The 22407-nt window shown below is 44.1% G+C and overlaps 1 protein-coding gene across 17 annotated transcripts in view; it reads right to left on the reverse strand.

Moving 5' to 3' along the window:
- The window catches only part of HSF2BP (heat shock transcription factor 2 binding protein), a 214517-nt gene that overhangs the window by 70973 nt on the left and 121137 nt on the right, over nucleotides 1–22407 (reverse strand). For 11 of the 17 annotated variants that reach the window (XR_007067782.1, XR_007067781.1, XR_007067780.1 and 8 more), the window contains one exon: nucleotides 13814–14018. Coding sequence is in view for 14 of the 17 variants with exons in the window: in XM_017028269.2 (XP_016883758.1) it covers nucleotides 13814–14018 (205 nt within the window). In the remaining 3 variants the exon portion in view is untranslated. Of the gene's footprint in view, nucleotides 1–13241; nucleotides 14019–22407 lie in introns of those variants that run through there. The other 6 variants (XM_047440678.1, XM_017028272.2, NM_007031.2 and 3 more) reach the window with 1 other exon arrangement.

Here is a 22407-nt window from a genome sequence, read left to right on the forward strand (position 1 = left end):
TCAGGGAGAAATGAAAACTTGGGCAAAACACATCACATGTTCCAAGGTCAAAGGTGAAAGCTGTTTGTGACTGTTGCACACCACTTCAGCTCTCTGTCACAGCCCTGCCTCTCCCCAGTATACCACTCTGATAGTTGAGTGATGTTTTAAGTATGAAAAACTGTCACACCTGGAAGGTGGGGGGGCCCTGGAAACCTGAGCTGCTGGGAAAACGTGCTCCCCTCCTCCATGAGGAGGACACAAGCCCACACCCCTAAGCCACTGTATGGGGCTGCTCTGATGGGGCTTCAGGATGTGCCCCAGCCTGGAAGGAGCTTGCTGATTCTTGCCTCTGAATGGCCATGTCCTGAGCTGGAGCACCTGAAGACAGCTATGGTGCCCAGAGGCCTGGGAGCTGTCGGGTAGCCTGGCCCCACTGCAGGTGGCAGATCTGGGAGCCACAAGAAATGCTCTGCTATTTCATACTATGCATTCTTCAGAGGCTGGTGCAATAGAGTTTAATCAACTTCCTCTGGAAGAGACTATATTCATGCAGACTTGTAAGAAAGAGAAATAACTTGAACTTTGGTTTGTTTGCTGTTCTTGGTGTGCACATTCATAAATCCCTAAAAACCCCGAAGCACAAGCACTGCCCCTGCCGTTCCTGCTCTCTGCTTGGTGGTCAGGCCACTCCATGCAGCAGACCAGCTCAGGCCTATGTGGCCTGGAACCATCTCTTCTACATGAGACAAGGCCGGGACCTCTGCCCCCACCCACAAGCACATGGAGAGGGAGAGGGAGCCCCCTGCCTGAGCAGCAGAGACCCCAGGAAGGAGGCCAAGCCCTCCTCACACAGGAGGTCTCCAGCTGCCCTCTGAGGTGAGGGGTGCCTCTCCCAAACAGCACAAAGTACAGCCCAGACCAGAATGTTTTGGAAGGACTCAGAAACAAGAAAGTGTGTGCTGAGTAAGGGCCGGGGCTGCAAAATACAGGGAAGAGAAGCCACCTTGCAGCCTGGACTGCGGGTTGTGCAAGCCCTGCCGGCTGCAGCCTGCCCTCCCAGGCTGGGGATTAACATGGGAGCAGACGGCTTGGCTCAGAACCAAGTGTGACTAATTGAGAGGACAAACAGGAAGGCTTTTCACCTGCCCAGACCTCATTCAGGGTTTCCTACGAGACGATAGCATCAGGAGCCCTGGCGAGTACAGGCAGTTTTGTTCCTTGCTCTGAGTCTCTTGTGCTGATGACGTCAAAGGGGCCTAAGACAGTGCCCCCAAACCTGGACAGAGTGTGGAGGAGAAAGAAAGCTGGTGAGCAAGCATTTTGGCCTTGAAGACCAGATCGCTCATCCCAAAGCTTGGGTCCCTGGCCTGGGAACTGGGTTTACTGATTCCCCTTGTGATTCTAGCTCCTTTAACCTTAAGACGGAGCCTTTCTTCTGGCAATTACCCAGGAATGGGACTTTCTTCCAGCACAGCAGAGAAAACAGGATTAAGCAAGGGGCTCTGGATCCTAAGACAGCCTCTGGAGCTGGCAGGAGAGTCTGGTGGCTTCTGCACTGGGCCAGACTTCCACCCAGGTTTCCAGTGACAAGGTTTTAAGGGAGAAATGCAAATCTGATGAACATTTAACTCCATGAAGCAGATAGCTTCAGGTTTGTCCTGCAGGATTCAGAGGTCTATGACCCCTGACACATCTACACTTGACCTGTAGCCAAAAATAGTTAAAAAGATTATAGAGCCCTAGAAACCTGGCCCTGTCTTCAGTGCCCACAGGGTAAAACGTATCTTCTGGGCTCATGGGAGAGGTGCAGTCACAGTGCCCTCCTGCCCCCTCATACACGGGGGTGCAGAGCCAGAAGCAAATGGGAGACAAACATTCCCCTAAACCCTAGTTCCAGCCCACACAGCCAAAAGCCAACTCCCCCTTAGAAAACCTTAGTATGCGTGTCAGCCAAATTCCTTAGGGTTGAGGCAGAGGTGTAGCGAGGGAAGCTTGCCGGACTAGAGTCAAGACACAGGTATGTTTAGCATGGGAAGGAAGGTATGACAGTCCCCACACACAGAGACGCAGACAGAGAGAGAGATGCACACAGAGACACACAAAAACATACAGACAAGATACAGAAACAACACTCACAGGCACAGTCACACAGACATACATGCACACATACATGCAGACTCATACAGATAGGCACACACAGAGGCACAGTCACACACAAAGACACACACACACACACACACACACACACACACACACACAGAGACAGACACAGATCTGTGGTCATCTCCACTGAATTGCCAGGGACATCACTGAAACAACTTGAACTCTGTCCACACCTGATTCAGGCAATAAGTGTCTGTGGGTCAGGGCAGGGGTTATGGGTGGATCCCACCGTGGTGTGACTGTGGGGAGAGTCCAGGGCAGCTCAGCAGCCTCCAGGGAAGGACACAGCCCAGGAGAAGTGCTAGGGGAGTCTGGGGCCCTGGTGGGTGGCTTGGACAGGTAGTGGGAGCAGCACCCAAGGAATACGGAGGCCCAACCAGTTGAGTGGCAGAGGCTCTAGCCAGCCTGGGCATGGGTGCCTTTTCCACCCAGGGTAAACTGCAGCCACAGGGGCAGGGGTCCCCGAGGAGAAGGCGGCACAAGGAAGGGCTCTCAAGGCACCTTCTTGAAGACCAGGAAGACTTTGTGAAAGGAAAATAAATCTCGGGACCCCAAAATCACTAAGCCAAAGGGCAAAGTCAAGCTGGTGTAAACCAAAAATAAAATTCTAAGTCCCCCGACAAGAACGGACCCTTCCTCTCAGCAAGGGCATTCCAAAGCTAACCTGAAAAACAAGTTCAGGCCATGATGGGAAGGGAAGTCAGGCATGACTCATTATACCCTCTTCCCTTTTGGAATTACTGATAGAATAGGGTCTTTAAGTCTGATAAGAAACATTTACAATCTATTGTCTCCGAAGCCTGCTACCTGGAGGCTTCACCTATGGTCTCCACAAACCCTTATCTTAACCCAGACATTCCTAAGTCTTTAGACAATAACTTAACTCTTTCAACCAACTGTCAATCAGAATATCTTTGAATCTACCTATGAGTTGGAAGCCCCCACCTTCCAGTTGTCCCGCTTTTCCAGACCGAACCAAAGTACATTTACATGCATTTGATTGATGTCTCATGTCTCCCTAAAATGTACAAGCTGTACTCCATCCACCTTGGATACATGATCTCAGAACCTCCTGGGGTTGTGTCATGGGCCACTGGTCACTCATATTTGGCTCAGAATAAATCTATTCAAATATTTTAGAGAGTTTGACTCTTTTTGTTGACACTGGGAACTGCGTCAGGCCTCCCATTTTATTCCTAAATAAGATAGCTACAAAGATTAAAAAAAAGCTACATACCTCCTTCACAATTTGCCTCAAGATCTATACCCTAAAACAGTTCTGTTGATTTTCACCCTGGCAATGTAAATTGGTAAGTTATCTTCACAGGTATGGGACAAAGGACAGAACTCAAAGTCATCCCTCTGGTCACCTGAGACAAATGCATATCTGATGGCTTCCTCTGCCCTATTGTTTATGTATAAAAATGAAGATTTGGCCGGGCACAGTGGTTCACGCCTATAATCCCGGCACTTTGGGAGGCTGAGGCGGGTGGATCACCTGAGGTCAGGAGTTCGAGACCAGCTTGGCTAACATGGTGAAACCCTGTGTCTACTAAAAATATTTTAAAAATTAGACAGGCGTGGTGGCACGTGCCTGTAATCCCAGCTACTCGGGAGGCTGAGGCAGGAGAATCACTTGAACCCAGGAGGCAGAAGTTGCAGTGAGCCAAGATTGCGCCACTGCACTCCAGCCTGGGCGACAAGAGTGTGAAACTCCATCTCGAAAAAAAAAAAAGTGCAGATTCACTGAGCCAGGCTTAGGCATAAGTGACTATTCCTCTCTACCTGCCTCTCACATGTAAATTGTATATTCAGTGAAAGGCTTATCAAAGACCCAAAAGAATGCAACCTTTTGTCTCTTGTTTACCTATGACCTGGAATGCCCTCCCACTCCTCCCAGCTTCCAGTCGTGCCATCTTTCTGCACTGAACCAATGTACTTCTTACACATATTGACTGATGACTCATGTCTCTCTAAAATGTACAAAAGCAAGCTGTGGCCCGACCACCTTGGACACATGTCGTCAGGACCTCCCGAGGCTGTGTCACGGGTTCATCCTTAACCTTGGCAAAATTAACCTTCTAAATTGATTGAGGCAAGTCTCAGATACTTTTGGGTTCACAACCTGATGAGAGAACAGAAAGGCCCCAGTCTGCTGATTGCCACCCTCAACATAGCACACCCACATACCCCCAAATACAGCACACACACCCCAACACGGCACACACAGAGGCTGCTGCTCCAAGCAGCACAACAGCTCATGGGACATTCAGGTGCTGCCTCCCCTTCCCTGGGCTCAGGGCCAAACCTAAACTACCTCTAAGGAACAGGTATCTAAGCCAACACATGCACCCCCAGCCCCTTTACAACAAGTTTCACAGAACCTTAGGTACAGAGAGGTGAGAAATTTCATCCAAATGTAAGAAAACAGCCTTCTACTCTCATAATTGAAGGAAGTGTGCTCAAATGCCAAAGTGTAGTACTAAGTTTCTGGAAAACTTACTTCCCTGGCTGAGGGTGGTGGAGGGAAGGACACTGATTCATCAAGAAGAGGAAAATATTCCAAGTACAATGTATAAAGGAGCAGGCATGCGATATATTTTTTAAGAATTTCCATTAAAATGGTTCTTTCAAAAAAAAGCTCTGATGCCTAACGGGTGAGCTTCAGCTCCCAGCAAAAATACACACTTTGTGAATTGTAGGCTCACTCCACTCTGTCCTTAAGTAATCTTAACCTCGTCTAAGTTTCAGATGCCCCTTTATTTCTCTTCTATCAGTATTTGGACTAAAAAAAACAAAAAGAAAAGAACAAAGCAGAAGCACCCGCTATTGCAAGGTATGCTCTTACCTGCCCCTCTCCCTGCCCATTCTGGCTTGGTCATGTCAGCCCTGGGCTGTGACCACCTGCCTGCCCAGAGCAGGGGACATCTCCAAGGGAGAGGTCCTGTTAACTCTAAGCCTAGCAATGTCCTGTGCTGGCTTTCTGGCCTAGAGCAGGGAGAATTTGTCCTGCTCCTGCCCTGGTTTGTCTCAGCTCTGTGGAATCTAAAATAAAAGACTGAAAGAGAGGACTACTCAATGATTCTAAGCAAGGTAAGATAGGTTGTAGTGATACCTGAGCATGCAGCTCATGGAGACAGGAATGATAATTTTATAAACTGCTGCAGATACTGAACAGAACCTTTTAAAAATCAAGGCTTTTGATATTGATAATTAATCTCTGTCTCTCCCTATTCTTTTCTTTTCTTTTTTTTTTTTTTTTTTTGAGACGAAGTCTTGCTCTGTTGCCCAGGCTGAAGTTCAGTGGTGTGATCTCGGCATACTACAACCTCTGCCTCCACAGTGCAAGCGATTCTCCTGCCTCTGCCTCCTGAGTAGCTGGGACAACAGGCATGTGCCACCATGCCCACCTAATTTTTGTATTTTTAGTAGAGACAGGGTTTCCTGTTGTTGGCCAGGCTGGTCTTGGACTCCTGGCCTCAAATGATCCACCCGCATCAGCTTCCCAAAGTGCTGGGATGACAGGGGTGAGCCACCACACCCGGCCAACTCTCCCTCTTCTTTCTCAATGTTATTGTGTGATCAGGCAGCCACAGGAGCCTGTCACTTATCAGCACATCTTGTCTCAATACCAGCCTGGTGGGGAGCAGGGGTTACTGCCCCCCACCACACCAACTACTTCCCATTCTCTTCCCACCCTCTTGACCCCATGGGCCTGCTGGTGGCAGCAGAGTGGCACATTGGCCAGAGAGGCTGCAGACCCTCTGCCAGGGGGTGAAGCAGCTCATCGCCAGAACTGCAAATGCCCAGGCGCAGGACAGACACTGGCCTGAAGGCAAAGGACCCTAGATGAGGTTACGGGCCCAGGGAAAGGGAGGTGACACCAAGAGGCACAGACTGTAACCGCAACTCTGTCACTAGAGTCCAGTATCCTCACCTGCAGAGTGTGGCTGGTGATGCCGACCTCACGGGGTGGCCGTGAGGACTGACTGAGCTGAAGGAAATCAGGCAGAGGTTCTGAACTGCCACCAGGAAGCCAATGCTTTGTTTTCAGCTATGGGACTACCGTTAATGTGGGACGCCTTACAGTGTCATAGACATCATTAAATGCTTTCAATGCTCAAGTGCCTGGTTATGTGCCTGGTACTACACTAGGCCACACAAATTCCACAAGCCCAGGGCAAACGGCTCCTTACCAAAAAGTAAATGATCCTGGGGGGAATCCTACAAACTCCCAGAAACTGCAGATGAAACATCAGATAAGCATGTCCATACACTTTTGTATACAGAAGGTTTCTCAGATTCTCAGAGTGGCCCATGACCCTGTAACAGCTAAGAACCACAGTTCTAGGGCTTATGATCCAAAAAGAGAGTAGGTATGAGCCATGGCCAAAGGAAAGGCTGCTGGTGCCAGCGACTGAGCATGAAGGCACAGGATGGCAGAGGAGATGCTTTCCTCCCCGGTGGGCAGGTGGCAGGCCCCACTCCAGCAGGGACCTATCACCTTCACGTCAGCCCATGCTATGCAGGACCAAGTGTGTGTATGGCAGCTGGGCAAAGTATCCAGTGAGAACATGCACACTTGGGCCTCAGATCTGGGTGTGGCTGGAGTCTGTGGGGAGAGTGAAAGCTTCACCTTGGGGAGGCATGTTTGGAAAGAAACTCACTTCAGCAGTCTCGAGGACTTTTGCCATTTGAGGTGCTGGGGGTGGGGAGGGCAGCGATGACTAGAGGCTGACAGTGTGGTCATCTGACAATCTTAAGAGCAGGTTCCACTTTTTTTTTTTTTTTTTTTTACATTTTTAAGTGTGAATCAGAGGCTGCTCCTGCCCCAGGCCCCACAGTCATCGCACAGAGCAAGGCGAGAGGTCTCCCAGCCAGCACCTGAGCACTCTCTGCTGCCCTTCAAACATACACCAAGCCCACACTTACAGGGCCTTTGCACTTCTTCCCAAAGCCTGCACTGCTCTCAGACATCGAAACAGTAATATTTTGCATAACACCATTTAACCTGAAAAGTTGGGCTGCAAGTATGACTTCAATTAAAAAATATAATAGACTATGTGAGTGGGAGTCATTTTTCCAGCTAACAGTCATTTTGTGCTGAGTATGATCTAAGAGCATTAAATGTACATTTATGGCGGGAAAAGCAGCAACTTAGGGAGCTCCACTGGAACAATATAAAATCCTATAATAAAGGCTATTCATGGCCAGGTGCAGTAGCTCATGCCCGTAATCCCAGCACTTTGGGGAACTGAGGCAGGTGGATCACTTGAGTCCAGGAGTTAGAGACCAGCCTGGACAACATGGTGAAACTCCATCTCCCCCAAAAAATACAGAAAATTAGCCAGGTATTGTGGCACACACCTAGAGTCCCAGCTGCTCTGGAGGCTGAGGCAGGAGATCACTTGAGCCCAGGAGGCAGAGGCTGCATTGAGCCGAGATCACACTCCAGCCTTGGTGACAGAATGAGATCCTATCTCAAAAAAAAAAAAAAAAAAAAAAAAAAAAAAGGCTATTCATGAAACCAAATAATTTAAACATATGGTGAGCATATGAGCATAGTATTCATAAGTGTTTCAGTTTTGAAAATCACATTTGTAATACCATTTTCAAATAATAATTATAAAATTCAGCAAGTAGTGGTGGGAAAACTGAAATATCCACATGTAAAAGAATGATGCCGGACCCTTAGCTGAACGATATGAAAAAAATTGACTCAAAATGGATCAAAGATCTAAACTGAAGAGATAAAACTATAAAACGAAGAAGAAAACACAGGAGAAAATCCTTGTGACCAAACATTTGACAATGATTTCTTGGATATGACACCAAAAGCACAGGCAATAAAAGAAAAAAATCAATAAACTAGATTTAACCAAAATGAACTCTTGCACATCAAAGGACACTATTAATAGAGTGCAGAAGCCCAGAGAATAGGAGTTAATACCCGCAAATCCCACATCTGATAAGGCGTTCGCTCCTGTAACTCAACAACAGAAAGCAAACAACCCAACTCAAAAATGGGCAAAGGCCCTGAATAGACTTTTCTCCAAAGAAGAGATACAAACGGCCAATAAGCACAAGGAAAGATGCTCAACATTATTCGTCATTAGGGAAATGCAAATGAAAACCTCAATAAGATGCATTTCACACCCATTATCAATGGCTATTATCAATAAAACAGAAAATAACAAATGTTGATGAACACGTGGAGAAACTGGAGCCCTTGGGCACTGCTGCCGGTGGGGATGTAAAGTGGTGCGGCTGCTGTGGAAAGCGGTTGGCAGTTCCTCAGAGAGCTACACACAGAATTACCATGTGATTCAGCAATTTCACTCCTAAGTACACACCCCAAAAAATTGAAAGCAGAAATTCAAACAGATACCTGTACCCCAATGTTCACAGCAATACTATTAACAACAGCCAAAAGGTGAAAACAAGCCAAGTGTCCCTCAACAGATGGATGAATGAACGAAATGTGCTGTGTCCACACATGGGATGATACAGCCAGAAGAGGGAACGAGTTCTGACACACGCTACAACACGGATGAACCTTGAGGTCACGATGCTAAGTGAAATACGCCAGACCCAAAAGAACAAAGATCATATGACTGTACTTCTATGAGATGCGTGGAGTAGTCAAATGCATGGAGACAAAGAAGAGCAGATATTAGGGGCCAGGGGAGAAAGGTTTAGGGAATGTGTTGTTATATAACGGGTACAGAGTTTCTGTTTGGAATGAAGAAAAGTTTCAGAAATAGATAATGGTAATGATTATAAAACACTATGACATACTTAATGCCACTGAGTCTTCACTTTAAAATGGTTAAAACATAAATTTTATATTAGGTATATTTAACAATTTTTAAAACTTTTAAAATTACAAATTAAAAAGGACAGTAACAACACTTTTCATCTCATAGCATGCACTAATTAGCACAAAGACTCCGATTTCTTAGTCTACATCTGGAGATAAATTTAAATGTGTGCATTCTCAGAGCAGAGAGGCAGCCATGGCTCTTAAAGATGAGAGTTTGTGAAGACAGAGGTGTACCAGTTATCTCTTGCCCTTCTTACCTGAGCCTGGACTCAAAAAGCATCCAAAGACCTTTCAATGCCCTATAGGATGCCACATCCTACACTACATCAGGGTCTATACTCAGGATCCTACACTGGTTGGAGAAGTTCTGAGGCATTCTCAGCATCTATGCCATGGAAGAAAACAGAACAAACTTCAGGACTTCTCAGAAATTAGTAAGTCTGCAAAAGTTTTTATCAACCTTTTCCATTTATATTAACGTGTGGCAAAATAGCTAATGGCAGGTCCAGCCGAATCAATGGAATGGGCAGGCACATTTACAAGCTTTATTCAAAACCTCTGTAAACCAAAAATAAAATTCTAAGCCCCTCAACCATCTGAATGGACCCCTCCTCTCAGCCAAGGGCCTTCCAAAGTTGGCCTGAAAAACTAGTTCAGGCCGTGATGGGAAGTGAAGGTCAGACATGCCTCATTATGTCATGATGGGACGTGGAGGTCAGACATGCCTCATTATGCCCTCCTCCCTTTGGAATTCAGGTACAACTGACTGGTATAAACATTAAAACAGAGATCTTGAGACTTTTTGTTGCAATCAGACACCAAATTCTAGCTTGACTCTAGTATAGCATCACATGACAGACACCAGGCCATGAAAGAAATCAAAATATTTTACCCAAAAATACATTTCTTTGACATATTTTGAAAGGGCCCTGCAAAGCTGTCTCTTGTGGGGAAAAATCTACATTCTGTAGAGAATCCTTTTCCTCTTCTCTGATCCAGGAGAGAATTAACTAAGAGTCTGGTACCTTAAGTCTGGTAAGAAACATTTCCAATCTATTCTCTCTGAAGCCTGCTACCTGAAGGCTTCATCTGCATAATAAAAACCTTGGTCTCCACAACAGATGCTCCCTCCTAGGGATTCCAGGTCTTCTGATAATAACTTAACTCTTTTAACCAATTGCCGATTAGAAAATCTTTGAATCTGCCTATGACCTGGAACACGCCCCCCGCCCCCTCCAATTGTCCCGCCTTTCCAGACAAAACGAATGTATCTTACATCCTACATCTATTGATTGATGTCTTATGTCTCCCTACAATGCATAAAACCGAACTGTGGCCCATCCACCTTGGGCACATGTTCCCAGAACTTCCTGGGGCTGTGTCACAGGCCATTGGTCACTCACATTTGGCTCAGAATAAGTCTCTTCAAATATTTTACAGAGTTTGACTCTTTTCATCAACACTTCCTTGACCCCGGCCTGACTTCCAGCCTTGGTCTAATTTTCTTCAGGCTCCAGACCTGTGATCCTATGCTTGGTACTTTAATTAACTTTAAAATCCTCTGGAATGAGTGAATGGCACAGGCGATATAACTGTAGGGAACTAGAAGAACTCTGTGGCATGAGGCTTATCCCAAGCTATGCCACGAGGAGGCATGGGTCTCCAAAGCCCCCCACGAAGTCTCCATATTGCTCTCCGTCAGAACAAGGATTTGCTCTTTTCGGACTGAAGAGAAAGCAGCTCTGATGGTTAATGAGCTGCCAGACAGCAAGAGGAATGCTCGGAGCCATGTGGGGGAAGGGGTGAGGAAGGAGGGAGTCAAGTCTGACGTCGGGCCTGCCAGGTTTCACACCTTTACATACAAACTGATGGTACCAAGGAGAAAAATAGTTCCTTAACTTAATAAATGTAAGAGGAATTCTGTTAAAATTACATTTCAACGCTGGGCATGGTGGCTCACGCCTGTAATCCCAGCACTTTGGGAGACCGAGGTGAGCGGATCACTTGAGATCTGGAATTTAGACCAGCCTGGACAACATGGTGAAAACATGTCTCTACTGAAAGTACAAAAATTAGCCAGGCATGGTGGTGTACGCCTGTAATCCCAGCTACTCAGGAGGCTGAGGCAGGAGAATCGCTTGAACCCAGGAGGCGGAGGCTGCAGTGAGCCGAGATGGAGCCACTGCACTCCAGCCTGGGCGACAAAGCAAGACTCTTGTGTCAAAAAATAAAAATATAGGCCGGGTGCCATGGCTCATGCCTGTAATCCCAGCACTTTGGGAGGCCGAGGCGGGTGGAACACCTGAGATCAGGAGTTCAACACCGGCTTGGCCAACATGGCCAAACCCCATCTCTACTAAAAGTAACAAAAATTAACTAGGCCTGGTGGCGGGTGCCTGTAATTCCAGTGACTCAGGAGGCTAAGGCAGGAGAATTGCTTGAACCCAGGAGGCGGAGGTTGCAGTGAGCCAAGATCGCACCACTGCGCTTCCAGCCTGGGCAACAAAAGCGAAACTCCATTTAAACAAACAAACAAACAAACATTTCAAAATATATGCACTATTTTACTTTGTCTGATTTTAAAATTCACGAGATCTGCAAAGTACATGCTTTTTATGAATACCTTTTAAAAAACTGAGTAGGTTTTCTTTAGATAACTAGTTGTAGAAAAATTAAAGAACCTGTGTTTTCCTGTTGACCTTCATATGAAGAGCAGGAGGCAGATCACTCCTTAAAACTGGCCTTATGTACTTTTCCTAGGATATACATTCAAAATATGGAGTTGTCACATGTTTCTTCCTAAAAGAGTTTTCGTAAGAACTCTTGCTATTCTTAGCACCTCAAAATCAGGAGAAAAGAAATGATCCTTCTTAAACACATCCATCCACTAATTAGCTAAACTACACAACATCCAAGAGTCTGGCCAACGCTCACTCCTCTCTATACACTGTTGACCCCATCTCTGGCAGAAAGAGGTCCTGTAGTTCTAGAGGCAGCATTCCCCATTACCTTATTAAATAAATAGCAATCAAAAAGAAGATAGCACCATGCTATTAAGTATAGAAACACAACATTCTTAATTTTATTCACCAATAATCAGGACCTACAGAACCACACAGCACAGATGGATCGATTTCTGCCTCCATGAATTTTAAATTGCCTTTTGCAACATTCCTCTGGCTCAGATGAGCTAGTGTTCCACAATATGCTGGCTCGTGAAATCCAAGCAACTGTGCCTTCCTCTACACTTCTTCACTCAGCCTCAGCCTTAAATTGCACACTGCCTATAAAAATGTACTTAAAAGAAAAATGAAGTTACTCTAAAATGCCATATGCAACAAAACAGCTTATTCTTGTAGATGGGGCTGCCACTGGTGGGGTGCACCTGCATTTGTTTTGCTCTTACAGCATGCCCAGAGCCCAGCAGCCCTCCAGCATCACACCGAAGGAAGCAGCCCAGGAAAAGAAGGGAATGTGTTCACGTGACGTGACTTTAAGGATTGATTTAAATGGTGACATGGTTACGCTTTGCGTCCCCACCCATATCGCATCCTGAATTATAATCCCCATAATTCCCATGTGTCAAGGGAGAGACCAGGTGGAGGTGACTGGATTATGGGGGCGGTTTCCCCCATGCTGTTCTCGTGATAGTGAGTTCTCAAGAGAGCTGATGGTTTTATAAATATTTGGTAGGTTCTCCTGCATTCATTCTCCTTCCTGCCACCTTGAGAAGAAGGTGCCTTGCTTCCCCTTCAACCATGATTGTAAGTTTCCTGAGACCTCCCCAGCCACAGTGAACTGTGAGTCAATTAAACCTCTTTCCTCTATAAATTACCAAGTCCCAGGCATTTCTTTACAGCAGTGTGAAAGCAGACTAATACAAAAGGCAACTCTCACCAATCATGGTGTCCATGAGAAATGAAGTGTATTCTCCCTTGCTCTCTGCCAGTGGCCTAGAAAACAAGCTGGATGGCAACCAGTAGGTAGATAACACAGACATGGCAGGGCCCTGGCATACAGGCACACCCATGCACAAAAAGGGAGCTGGAACTATCATTTCATTTATGGAATCTCAACTAACTGCATGTGTTCTAATCTATTATACAAGTTGTTTTTACAGCATTTGTTATAAGAAAAATAGGACTTCTAAGTTTATAGCCAAAGGGCCCAGAACAGTTTAAGGAAGAGTTTTTTTTCCACCAACCAAGAGTAGCATGGTAATATGCAGAAATCTAACTTCCTAATATCAAGTTTAGATTTTAGACAGCAAGGGTCGTAATACAACTCTTCTGATTTTCTTTATTCAAAAATAAAAGAGGCACAAAAAATATAGAACTAAAATGCCCAATGTCATCCGAAATAGCAGGTTCACCAAAAGGTTATAAAAGTAAACTTGCATTTTGGGGGGATTAATTACAATTACTAGAGAGAGAATGAATTGCTTTTCAAAGAAATGTATCTCAAGAAAATGCTGACTAATGGGGTAGATGGTTATTCAATTTCCCTGTTTTATAGGTGAACCTACAGGTCATGGTCTGCTGAGCAGCAAGAAGCTGCCCTAAGCAAGCCCTCTTCCAGCCAGCACAGACATGGACCACTTTTCCAGAAGGACAGGTTCTTTCATGGCCTCTCCTTTGGCAAGCTTAACCAACCACCTACAAGCACTCTCACTTCCAAGACAAAGTTATGTGGGATACATATCAATTCATGTCCATCTCTAGTCAATCACATTTTGCCAACTCTAACACATGGTACATGGTGATGGTTTTGGAGTATCAAATGAGGGATCTGGGGAGAAGGGACACCGGCATTTTCACCAAAACCCTGGTGGCCGAGCACACCTACACATTATGCTCCAGAGTGCGGAGATCTTCCAGGAGCTCCTGGGCTGCGGTTTGCAGGCGGGGGTTGCGGCTCTTGGACATTGCCAGGATGCGTTGCAGGGGCAGGGAGCTCCGGAACTCAGAGGCCGACTTGGAGAAGACTTCAGGTTCCAGAACCACAGACTGGACAAGCCTCAGTACATGAAGGCACACCTCTGCATCTGGATCTAGGGAAAAGAGGTAATGCTTCTGGTTAGAATAAAATTTTCTTTTTTCTTTTTGTTTTATTTTTTTGAGACAGAGTCTCGCTCTGTCACCCAGGCTGGAGTGCGGTGGCATGATCTCTGCTCACTGCAACCTCCGCCTCCCAGGCTCAAGAGACTCTCCTGCCTCAGCTTTCCTCTGTAACTGAGGCAGGAGTTTCCCAAGTAACTGAGATAACAGGTGTGTGCCACCATGCCTCGCTAATTTTTTGTATTTTTAGTAGAGATGGAGTTTCATCATATTGGTCAGGTTGGTCTCGAACTCCTAACCTCAAGTGATCCACCCACCTTGGCCTCCCAAAGTGCTGGGATTACAGGCGTGAGCCACCGCGCCTGGCCTAGAATAAAATGTTCTACTGCAATCTACCCCTCAAGGGGTTCCTGGCCTTTCTGAATAACACGTTTGACAGTTTAGAAAACTACAGGATAACCCAGAAACACAGTCACTGCTTGATATAAAAGCTTAGCTCATAAAAGCAGCATCAAAAAACTCAATAGTCTAATAACCATCATCTTCAAATATTACAGTCATACAATTTTAAAGTGTTAAACTAGAAAGATGAGGGCTTTCTCTGTTTGCTAGTGAGGACTAAACTCTGATTTTTTTTATCTTGCCCAAATTCCTATCTAAGGGGTCTGGGGAGTCATGTCCTACAAATCACAAATTCTCATCAGATGGGTTTTATTTAACCCTATATATCATGACTTTCCAACCTGACTCTGGCATAACATTATGAGACAAGAAAGAAAATAAAAATACTTTACCCCAAAATATGTTTCTTTGCCATATTTTGAAATGGCCCTGCAAAGCTGTTCTTTGTGGGGGAAAATCTGCATTTGTAAAGAATCTCTACTAACATAGCTAGATCTTTTTCTTCGAGACCCTCCTAATCCTAAAGAGATTAACTAAGATCTGAATAGGAAACATCTGTCATCTATTGTCTCTAAGGCAGCCACCATAAGACTTCAAAAGAACTTGGATGTCCACAATCTTTACCTTAACCTGAACATTCCCTTTCTATCAATCCCAGGTCTTTATCAATCAGAAAATGTTTAAATTCACCTATAGCCTGGAAGCCCCACGCCCCCCAGCTTTGTCCCACTTTTCTGGACCAAACCAATGTATTTCTTAAATGTTTTTGATTGATGTCTCACACCTCTCTAAAATGTATAAAGCCAAGCCGCACCCAACTACCTTGGGCACATGTTCTCAGGACCTCACTCATATTTGGCTCAGAACAAATCTCTTCAAATATTTTGCAGAGTTTGACTCTTTGTCGACAGTAGCATTCTGTCCACTTATAAGATTGTTTTAAAAAGTATTACTTCTTTTTCACTCCAATTGCAGCAAATCCCTCAGGGACCACATACAGATACAGCACTTATCAGGGCCACTGAGTTTACACAATGTCACTGGGTATATAAAATTCACGTTGTTTATTTTCCATGGGAATGGCCCCAGGACTTATAGAATCTGGTAGCCTTGCATACATTGTAGCAACCACTAAAAAATAGCTAGACAAACCCACTGGAAGCTTCAATCCATCACCAGAGTGGAGCCAACTTTCCTTACCATTCCTCTCTACTGGCAGCCTTTACGATGCCGTAAATTCACTCCTTGACTGGGTACTGCAACTGGAACCAGGCTCAAAATCAGCACCTCTTTCTTAGCACATTTACTTAACAAATAAAAAAATTAAAAAAAAACCTTTTAAGATGTAGACTGAAAGAGCAGACTGAACAGTCTCTCAGTGGGAGCTGCCACAGCACTAAGCCCTAACAAGAAGCTTCTCACCTACAGAATCAGAAGACTGCTGTGGCCAGGGAAGATAAAAGGCAATCTGCTCTAGCCCTCAGGGAGGGTCCAGGAGCCATCTTAAGCCAGCCTGTTAGAGTCCTCCTACTTTGGGGGAAGGGAGGGGAACTTTCTCTAGTAGAGACCTGCCAAAGATAAGGGGCAGCTAAGGCAGACACAGAGGCAAGGCCAAAAGCCATGGGTGAAGACGCTTTGGCAACTCAGCCCTCATCCTAAGCTCAAGGAAAGGTTAGAGGAATTTGAAGCCAGTGGGATGGAAGGTACATACACAACAACAAAACCCAGACCCACCTTAACTCCCCAACAATGAAAACCCAGCGGAAAAAGAGGAGTGGCCATTCCTGAATATAACACTATCTACCCACCTCATTCCCCTCTACAGAGAGGGTACGCATGGCCCAGAGGCCAAAGGTAGCCCATGACCCGTTTCTGTACAGCCTGCAAGCTAAGAATGGTTTTACTTTTTTTTTCTTCTTCTTCTTCTTCTTTCCTCCTCCTCCTCCTCCTCCTCCCCCCCCCTCCTCTCCTCCTCCACCACCTCCTCCTCCCCCCCCCCTCCTCCTCCTCCTTTTGGAGACAGGGTCTTGCTCTGTCTCCCAGGCTGGAGTACTCTGGTACAATCATGGCTCACTGCAGTCTCAATCTCCTGGGCTCAAGCCATCCTCCCACCTCGGCCTCCCAAGAAAGAGGGACCACAGAACATGTGGCCACGCCCAGTTAATTTTTCACATTTTTTTGTAGAGACGGTGTCTCACCACACTGCCCAGGCTGGTATCAAACCCCTGGGCTCAAGCAATCCTTCCACCTCAGTCTCCCAAAGGGCCAGAATTAGAGGCATGAACCATTGCAGCCTGCCAGGTTTTACATTTTTTAAGGGTAATTTTTTAAAAGTAAAAACCAGAAGAATAACATGCAACAGGGACTACACGTGGCTCTCAAAACTCAAAATATTTATTTGGCCCATTACAGAAAAAGTTTTTTGACCTTGCCTACTGCCCTCCACACAATGTCCAACACTGAAATCAAAAATTACAATGAAGAGGCAATGGAGGCCAGGCGCAGTGGCTCACACCTGTAATCCCAGCACTTTGGGAGGCCAAGGCGGGCGGATCACGAGGTCAGGAGTTTGAGAACAGCCTGGCCAACATAGTGAAACCCCATCTCTACTAAAAATATAACAATTAGCTGGGTGTGGTGGCGCACGCCTGTAATCCCAGGTACTCAGGAGGCTGAGGCAGGAGAATCCCTTGAACCCAGGAAGCAGAGGTTGCAGTGAGCTGAGATTGCGCCACTGCACTCCAGCCTGGGCAACAAAGTGAGACTCTGTCTCAAAAACAAACAAACAAACAAACAAACAAACAAACAAAAGAAGGCAAAGGAAACAAAAGGCTCATTGTCAAGTGACAATCAACAGAAGCAGACACACAGATAACCTGGAATAATAATACAGGAATTTCAGAAAAAGAATCTGAAATAAATATGATCAATAGATGGGAAAACACTGTTTTAAGGTACTTACACTATACCTGAAGCAGCGGATTATTATTTAAAGGTAAACAGTCATGCAATGTATAACATTTCAGAGAGCTTCATTGTCAAATTCTATCAAAAAATTAGAACAGAAATAATAGAAATTTTAAACAAGTCTTCCAGAAAACAGAAAAGGAGGAAATAAGTCAACTTTTTTTTATGAGGCCAGAATTACACTGACACCAAAACTAGATAAAGATGTTAAAATAAAAGAACAGACCAATATCCCTCATAAACAAAGACACGAAAATCCTAAACAAAAAAATAGCAAATTGCATTCAGCAATATATAAAAAGGATAATACTTCACAGCCAATAGACACTTATTCTAGGAATGGAAGGCTGGCTCATTATTTGCAAATCAGTCAACATCACCTACCGTAACAACAGACTAAAGAAGAAAAAAAAAATTATCTCTTCAATAAATGCAGAAAAGCCTTTTGACAAAATTCAACATCTGTTCATAACAGTAATAATAATAATAAACCCTCAACAAAACAGGAATAAAAAGGAACATCCTGAACCAGATTAGGGGCATCTACAAAAAACACACAGCTAACATCATACTTAATGATAGAAGACTGAATGCTTCTTTCCTAAGATGACGTACAAGGCAAGAATATCCTATCACCCCTATTCAAAATCATACTAGAGATCCTAGCCTGTGCAGTAAGGCAAGAAAAAGAAATAAAAGGTTTATTGATTAGAAAGGCAGAAATGAAACTGTCTCTATTTGCAGATGATATGATTGTCTATACAGAAAATCCCAAAGAAACTAGAAAAAAAGTTATTAGAACTAATTGAGTTTAGCAAAGTCACAGAATACAAATTCAACATACAAAGGTCAATTGTATCCACATACTTATAACAAAAAATTAAAAATCTAATGTTTTTTAAAAATTACCATATATTATATAATAGCACCAAAACATGAAACACTTAAGTATAAATCTCATGAAACTATGTGCAAGATTTCTATGCTGAAAACAACAAAACACAGATATAAGGATCCACAGACATATAGATGGAGAGAATATGCCATATTTATGGACTAGAAGACTCAATATTGTTAAAATGTCAAATCTCCTCAAATTCATCTATATAATCAATGCAATGCCAACCAAAATCCAAGTTGAAATTTTAGCAGAAATCAACAAGTAATTCTCAAATTTATTTGGAAAAACAAAGGAACTAGACCAGACAAAACAATTTAGAGAAAGAGAAATGTTGGGGAATTGCAGTACTAGATTTCAACATTTATGGCCATAAAGAGTGTGGTACTGGTCAAGTGACAGAGCGACAGACAAAGAGATAAGTGAAATAAAATTAGAGGATCCAAAAACAGACCACAGCTTTGTGAACTCTCAACAAAGGTATACATTCAATTCAATCAAGAAAGAATAACCTTTACAACAAATGGTGCTGGAAAAATTGAACATCCATATGCAAAAACAAAGAACTTCAATCTATACCTTGCCTAACATACAAAAATTATACAAAAATTAATAACATACCTAAATGTAAAACCCCAAATTTTAAAACTTCTGGAAGAAAACAGGAGAAAAATCTTTGTGACCTTGAATTAGGTAACAATTTCCTAGACACAAAACCAAAAGCATAATCCATACAACTAAATAATTTATTAGCCACACCAAAATTTTAAAAATCTGCTCTTCAAAAGACAGTCACAATGAAAAGACAAGCCACTAGATGAGGACAAAACATTTGCAAAACACGTATCTGATAAAGGACCTAAATCCAGAATACACATACATCTCTGAAAACTCAGTAACACAACAGCCCAATAAAAATAGGGAAAGTGTTTGAAAAGACACTTCACCAAAGGAGATACACAAATGGCAAGCACACAAAAAGATGCTCAGCATCATGGCTATTAGAAAAATGGAAATTAAATCCATACCTATTAGAATGGCTAAAATTAAAAAATAAAAATCTGAAAATACCAAGTGTTGACAAGAATGAGGAACAACTGGAATGTTCATAGATTAGTGGTGAAAATTTAAAATGGTACTGCCAGGCCAGGCGCAGTGGCTTACGCCTGTAATCCCAACACTTTGGGAGGCTGAGGCAGGCAGATCACCTGAGGTCAGGAACTTGAGACCAGCCTGGCCTCCATGGTGAAACCCCATCTCTACTAAAAATACAAAAATTAGCTGGGTGTGGTGGTGCACGCCTGTAATCCTAGCTACTTGGGAGGCTGAGGCAGGAGAATCACTTGAACCCACGAGGTGGAGGTTGCAGTGAGCCGAGATCGTGCCACTGCACTCCAGCCTGGGCAATAGAGCGAGACTCTGTCTCAAAAATAAATAAAATAAATAAAATAAAATAAAATAAAATAAAATAATAAAATAAAATAAAATAAAATAAAATAAAATAAAATAAAATAAAATAATAAAATAAAATAAAATAAAATAAAATAAAATAAATAAAATGGTACAACCACCTGAGACAACAATTTGGCAATTTCCTATACATTTAAACACATACTTACCACATAACTCAGCATATGAGTTATATGCTGAGATAGTTTTATGTCACAACTCATACAATTGTCTACTAACAAGTGAATTTTGTTCTATGTAAATTATAACTCAACAAATCTGGCTTTATATTAAAAATAAGAAGAAGGCCAGGCTTGGTGGCTCACGCCTGTAATCCCAGCACTTTGTGAGGCCAAGGTAGGTGGATCACCTAAGGTCAGGAGTTCGAGACCAGCCTGAAAAACATGGTGAAACCCTGTCTCTACTAAAAATACAAAAATTAGCCAGGTGTCATGGCAGGCACCTGTAATCCCAGCTACCTGGGAGGCTGAGGCAGGAGAATCACTTGAACCCCAGAGGCAGAGGTTGCAGTGAGCTGAAATCACGCCATTGCACTCCAACCTGGGCGACAGAGTTAAGACTGCATCTCAAAACTAAAAAAAAATAAAAATAATAATAAGAAATTAGATCCCTGGACCCTCTCCCCTATTCCCTGCCTCTGGAAAAATGCCCTTCCCTAGTAGAGACTGGACATTTCTTTTCTTTTCTTTTTTTTTGTGAGACAGAGTCTCACTCTGTCACCCAGGCTGGAGTGTAGTGACGTAATCTCAGCTCACCGCAACCTCCGCCTCCCAGTTCAAGTGATTGTCCTGCCTCAGCATCCTGAGTAGCTGGGATCACAGGCACCTGCCACCACACCCAGCTAATTTTTATATTTTTAGTAGAGACGGGGTTTCATCATGTTGGCCAGTCTGGTTTCGAACTCCTGACCTCAGGTGATCCGCCCACCTCAGCCTCCCAAAGTGCTGGGATTAGAGGTGTGAACCACCCCACCTGGCCTGGACATTTATTTTCTAAAGAATCTCTGGAGGTGAAACATCAGGCACAATTGAGGATGGAGGTTCTGTCTGGAAAACATGTGGATTAGATAAACACATACCTACAAGCTCTAAGACATTCCCTCTATCTCTACTTTGTTTCCGGAGTTTATAGGCCTTCATCCCTCCAGAAATAAGGGTGGGTGAGTCTTCTCCAGACAATCTGAACAACCCAAGACAACACAGTCGAAGATACTGACCTATGGGTTCCCAATTAATTGATGCACCAGCTCACACTGCAGAAAAGTTCAGAAGCTCCACCCATATGCTCACAGCTTCCAATCGGCATTATAAATCCCACTGTTAAACATGACCAGACAACCACACATCACCAGACACCTGAGAAAAAGATAAATGGCTATCATTTTAAACAGGAACAAAAGGAGGACAAAGAAAAGAGATTGTGCAGTGAGAAGAAAAGTTTTAAAAAACTATTATTAATATCTTCCTCAAGGAGGTAAAAGAAGCTATATCATCTGTTAAACAAGAATGGGATGCTATTTTTTAAGACAATTAAAAATAAACAGCAGTCTTAGAAATTAAATGCCTGAGAGTAGAGATGAAAACTTCAATAGGAAGTATGAAAAAAGAAGTTGAGAGTACAGATGTCCCCTCTTATCTGTTGCTAAAACTTTCTGTGGTAGTGCCGGCATGTGTCAAATACAATCAAACTTGTTCCTGTCAGGTGCTTTCTGACAGTGGCAAAGCTCTCAGGGCACACACTGAGCATTCCCTCCTCCTATGGGCTTCCTGGCCACCTCCAAAGCACATATGGATTCTGGACCATGTCAGCCACATCTTAGGCAATGCCCCAGGCTCCTTGAGCACCTAGGAACATGGAGTCATCGAGCAGCAACATAAGCCCATTCTTACAAGCTTCAAAGAACAAGAAGGCAAAAAAAAAAAAAAAATCTTCCTTGACCCCAAACTGGCCTCCAGTTCTGCCCAGTTCTTGACTCCCTTCCCAGGAATATTACAAGAGTGGTCTGTTGTTGCTACCGCCCCACCTCACCTTCACCCTTCAGTCACGCTACCATCTGCTCACTGCTGAGACAGCTTCTCTCAAGGTCACCAATGTCCTCCATGTTGTCACTGCTCAGCTTTCGTCTCACTTGACTCCTCTGGCTTTTCTTGGCTTCCATAGCACTCCTTCACCAGTCCCTCCTTATACTTCTCCTTTAGATGCTAGCCCAGGGCTCTGTCCTAGGCTTCCTTCTCTTTCTACTCTCCTTAGGTGACTTCGTCTACTCCATGACTTCAAATCCCATGTATCTACCAGTGACTCTAAATCCATTTCTCCAACCCCAGCCTTTCCCTGGAATTCCAGACTTCATAGCCACAAAAACTTGCCTGGACAACTCCCCTTGGGAATTTACTGCCAACTCAGGTTTCACAAGGCCAACACCCAACTCCTGATTCTCTGTGCTCCTGCCTCATCTTCCCCATCTCAGTAAACAACGTTACCATTTACCCACCCAAAGATGCAGGTATTCTCAGTAAACAGCATTACCATTTACCCACCCAAAGATGGCAGGTATTGTTATTGATTCGTCTCTTCTCTCACATCACATCTTATCAACTCTACCTCCCAACACGCCCTAAGCCCATAACCACCACCCTAGTCTAAGC

This window comes from Homo sapiens, chromosome 21, assembly GCF_000001405.40.
Source record: "Homo sapiens chromosome 21, GRCh38.p14 Primary Assembly".
Lineage (NCBI taxonomy): Eukaryota > Metazoa > Chordata > Mammalia > Primates > Hominidae > Homo > Homo sapiens.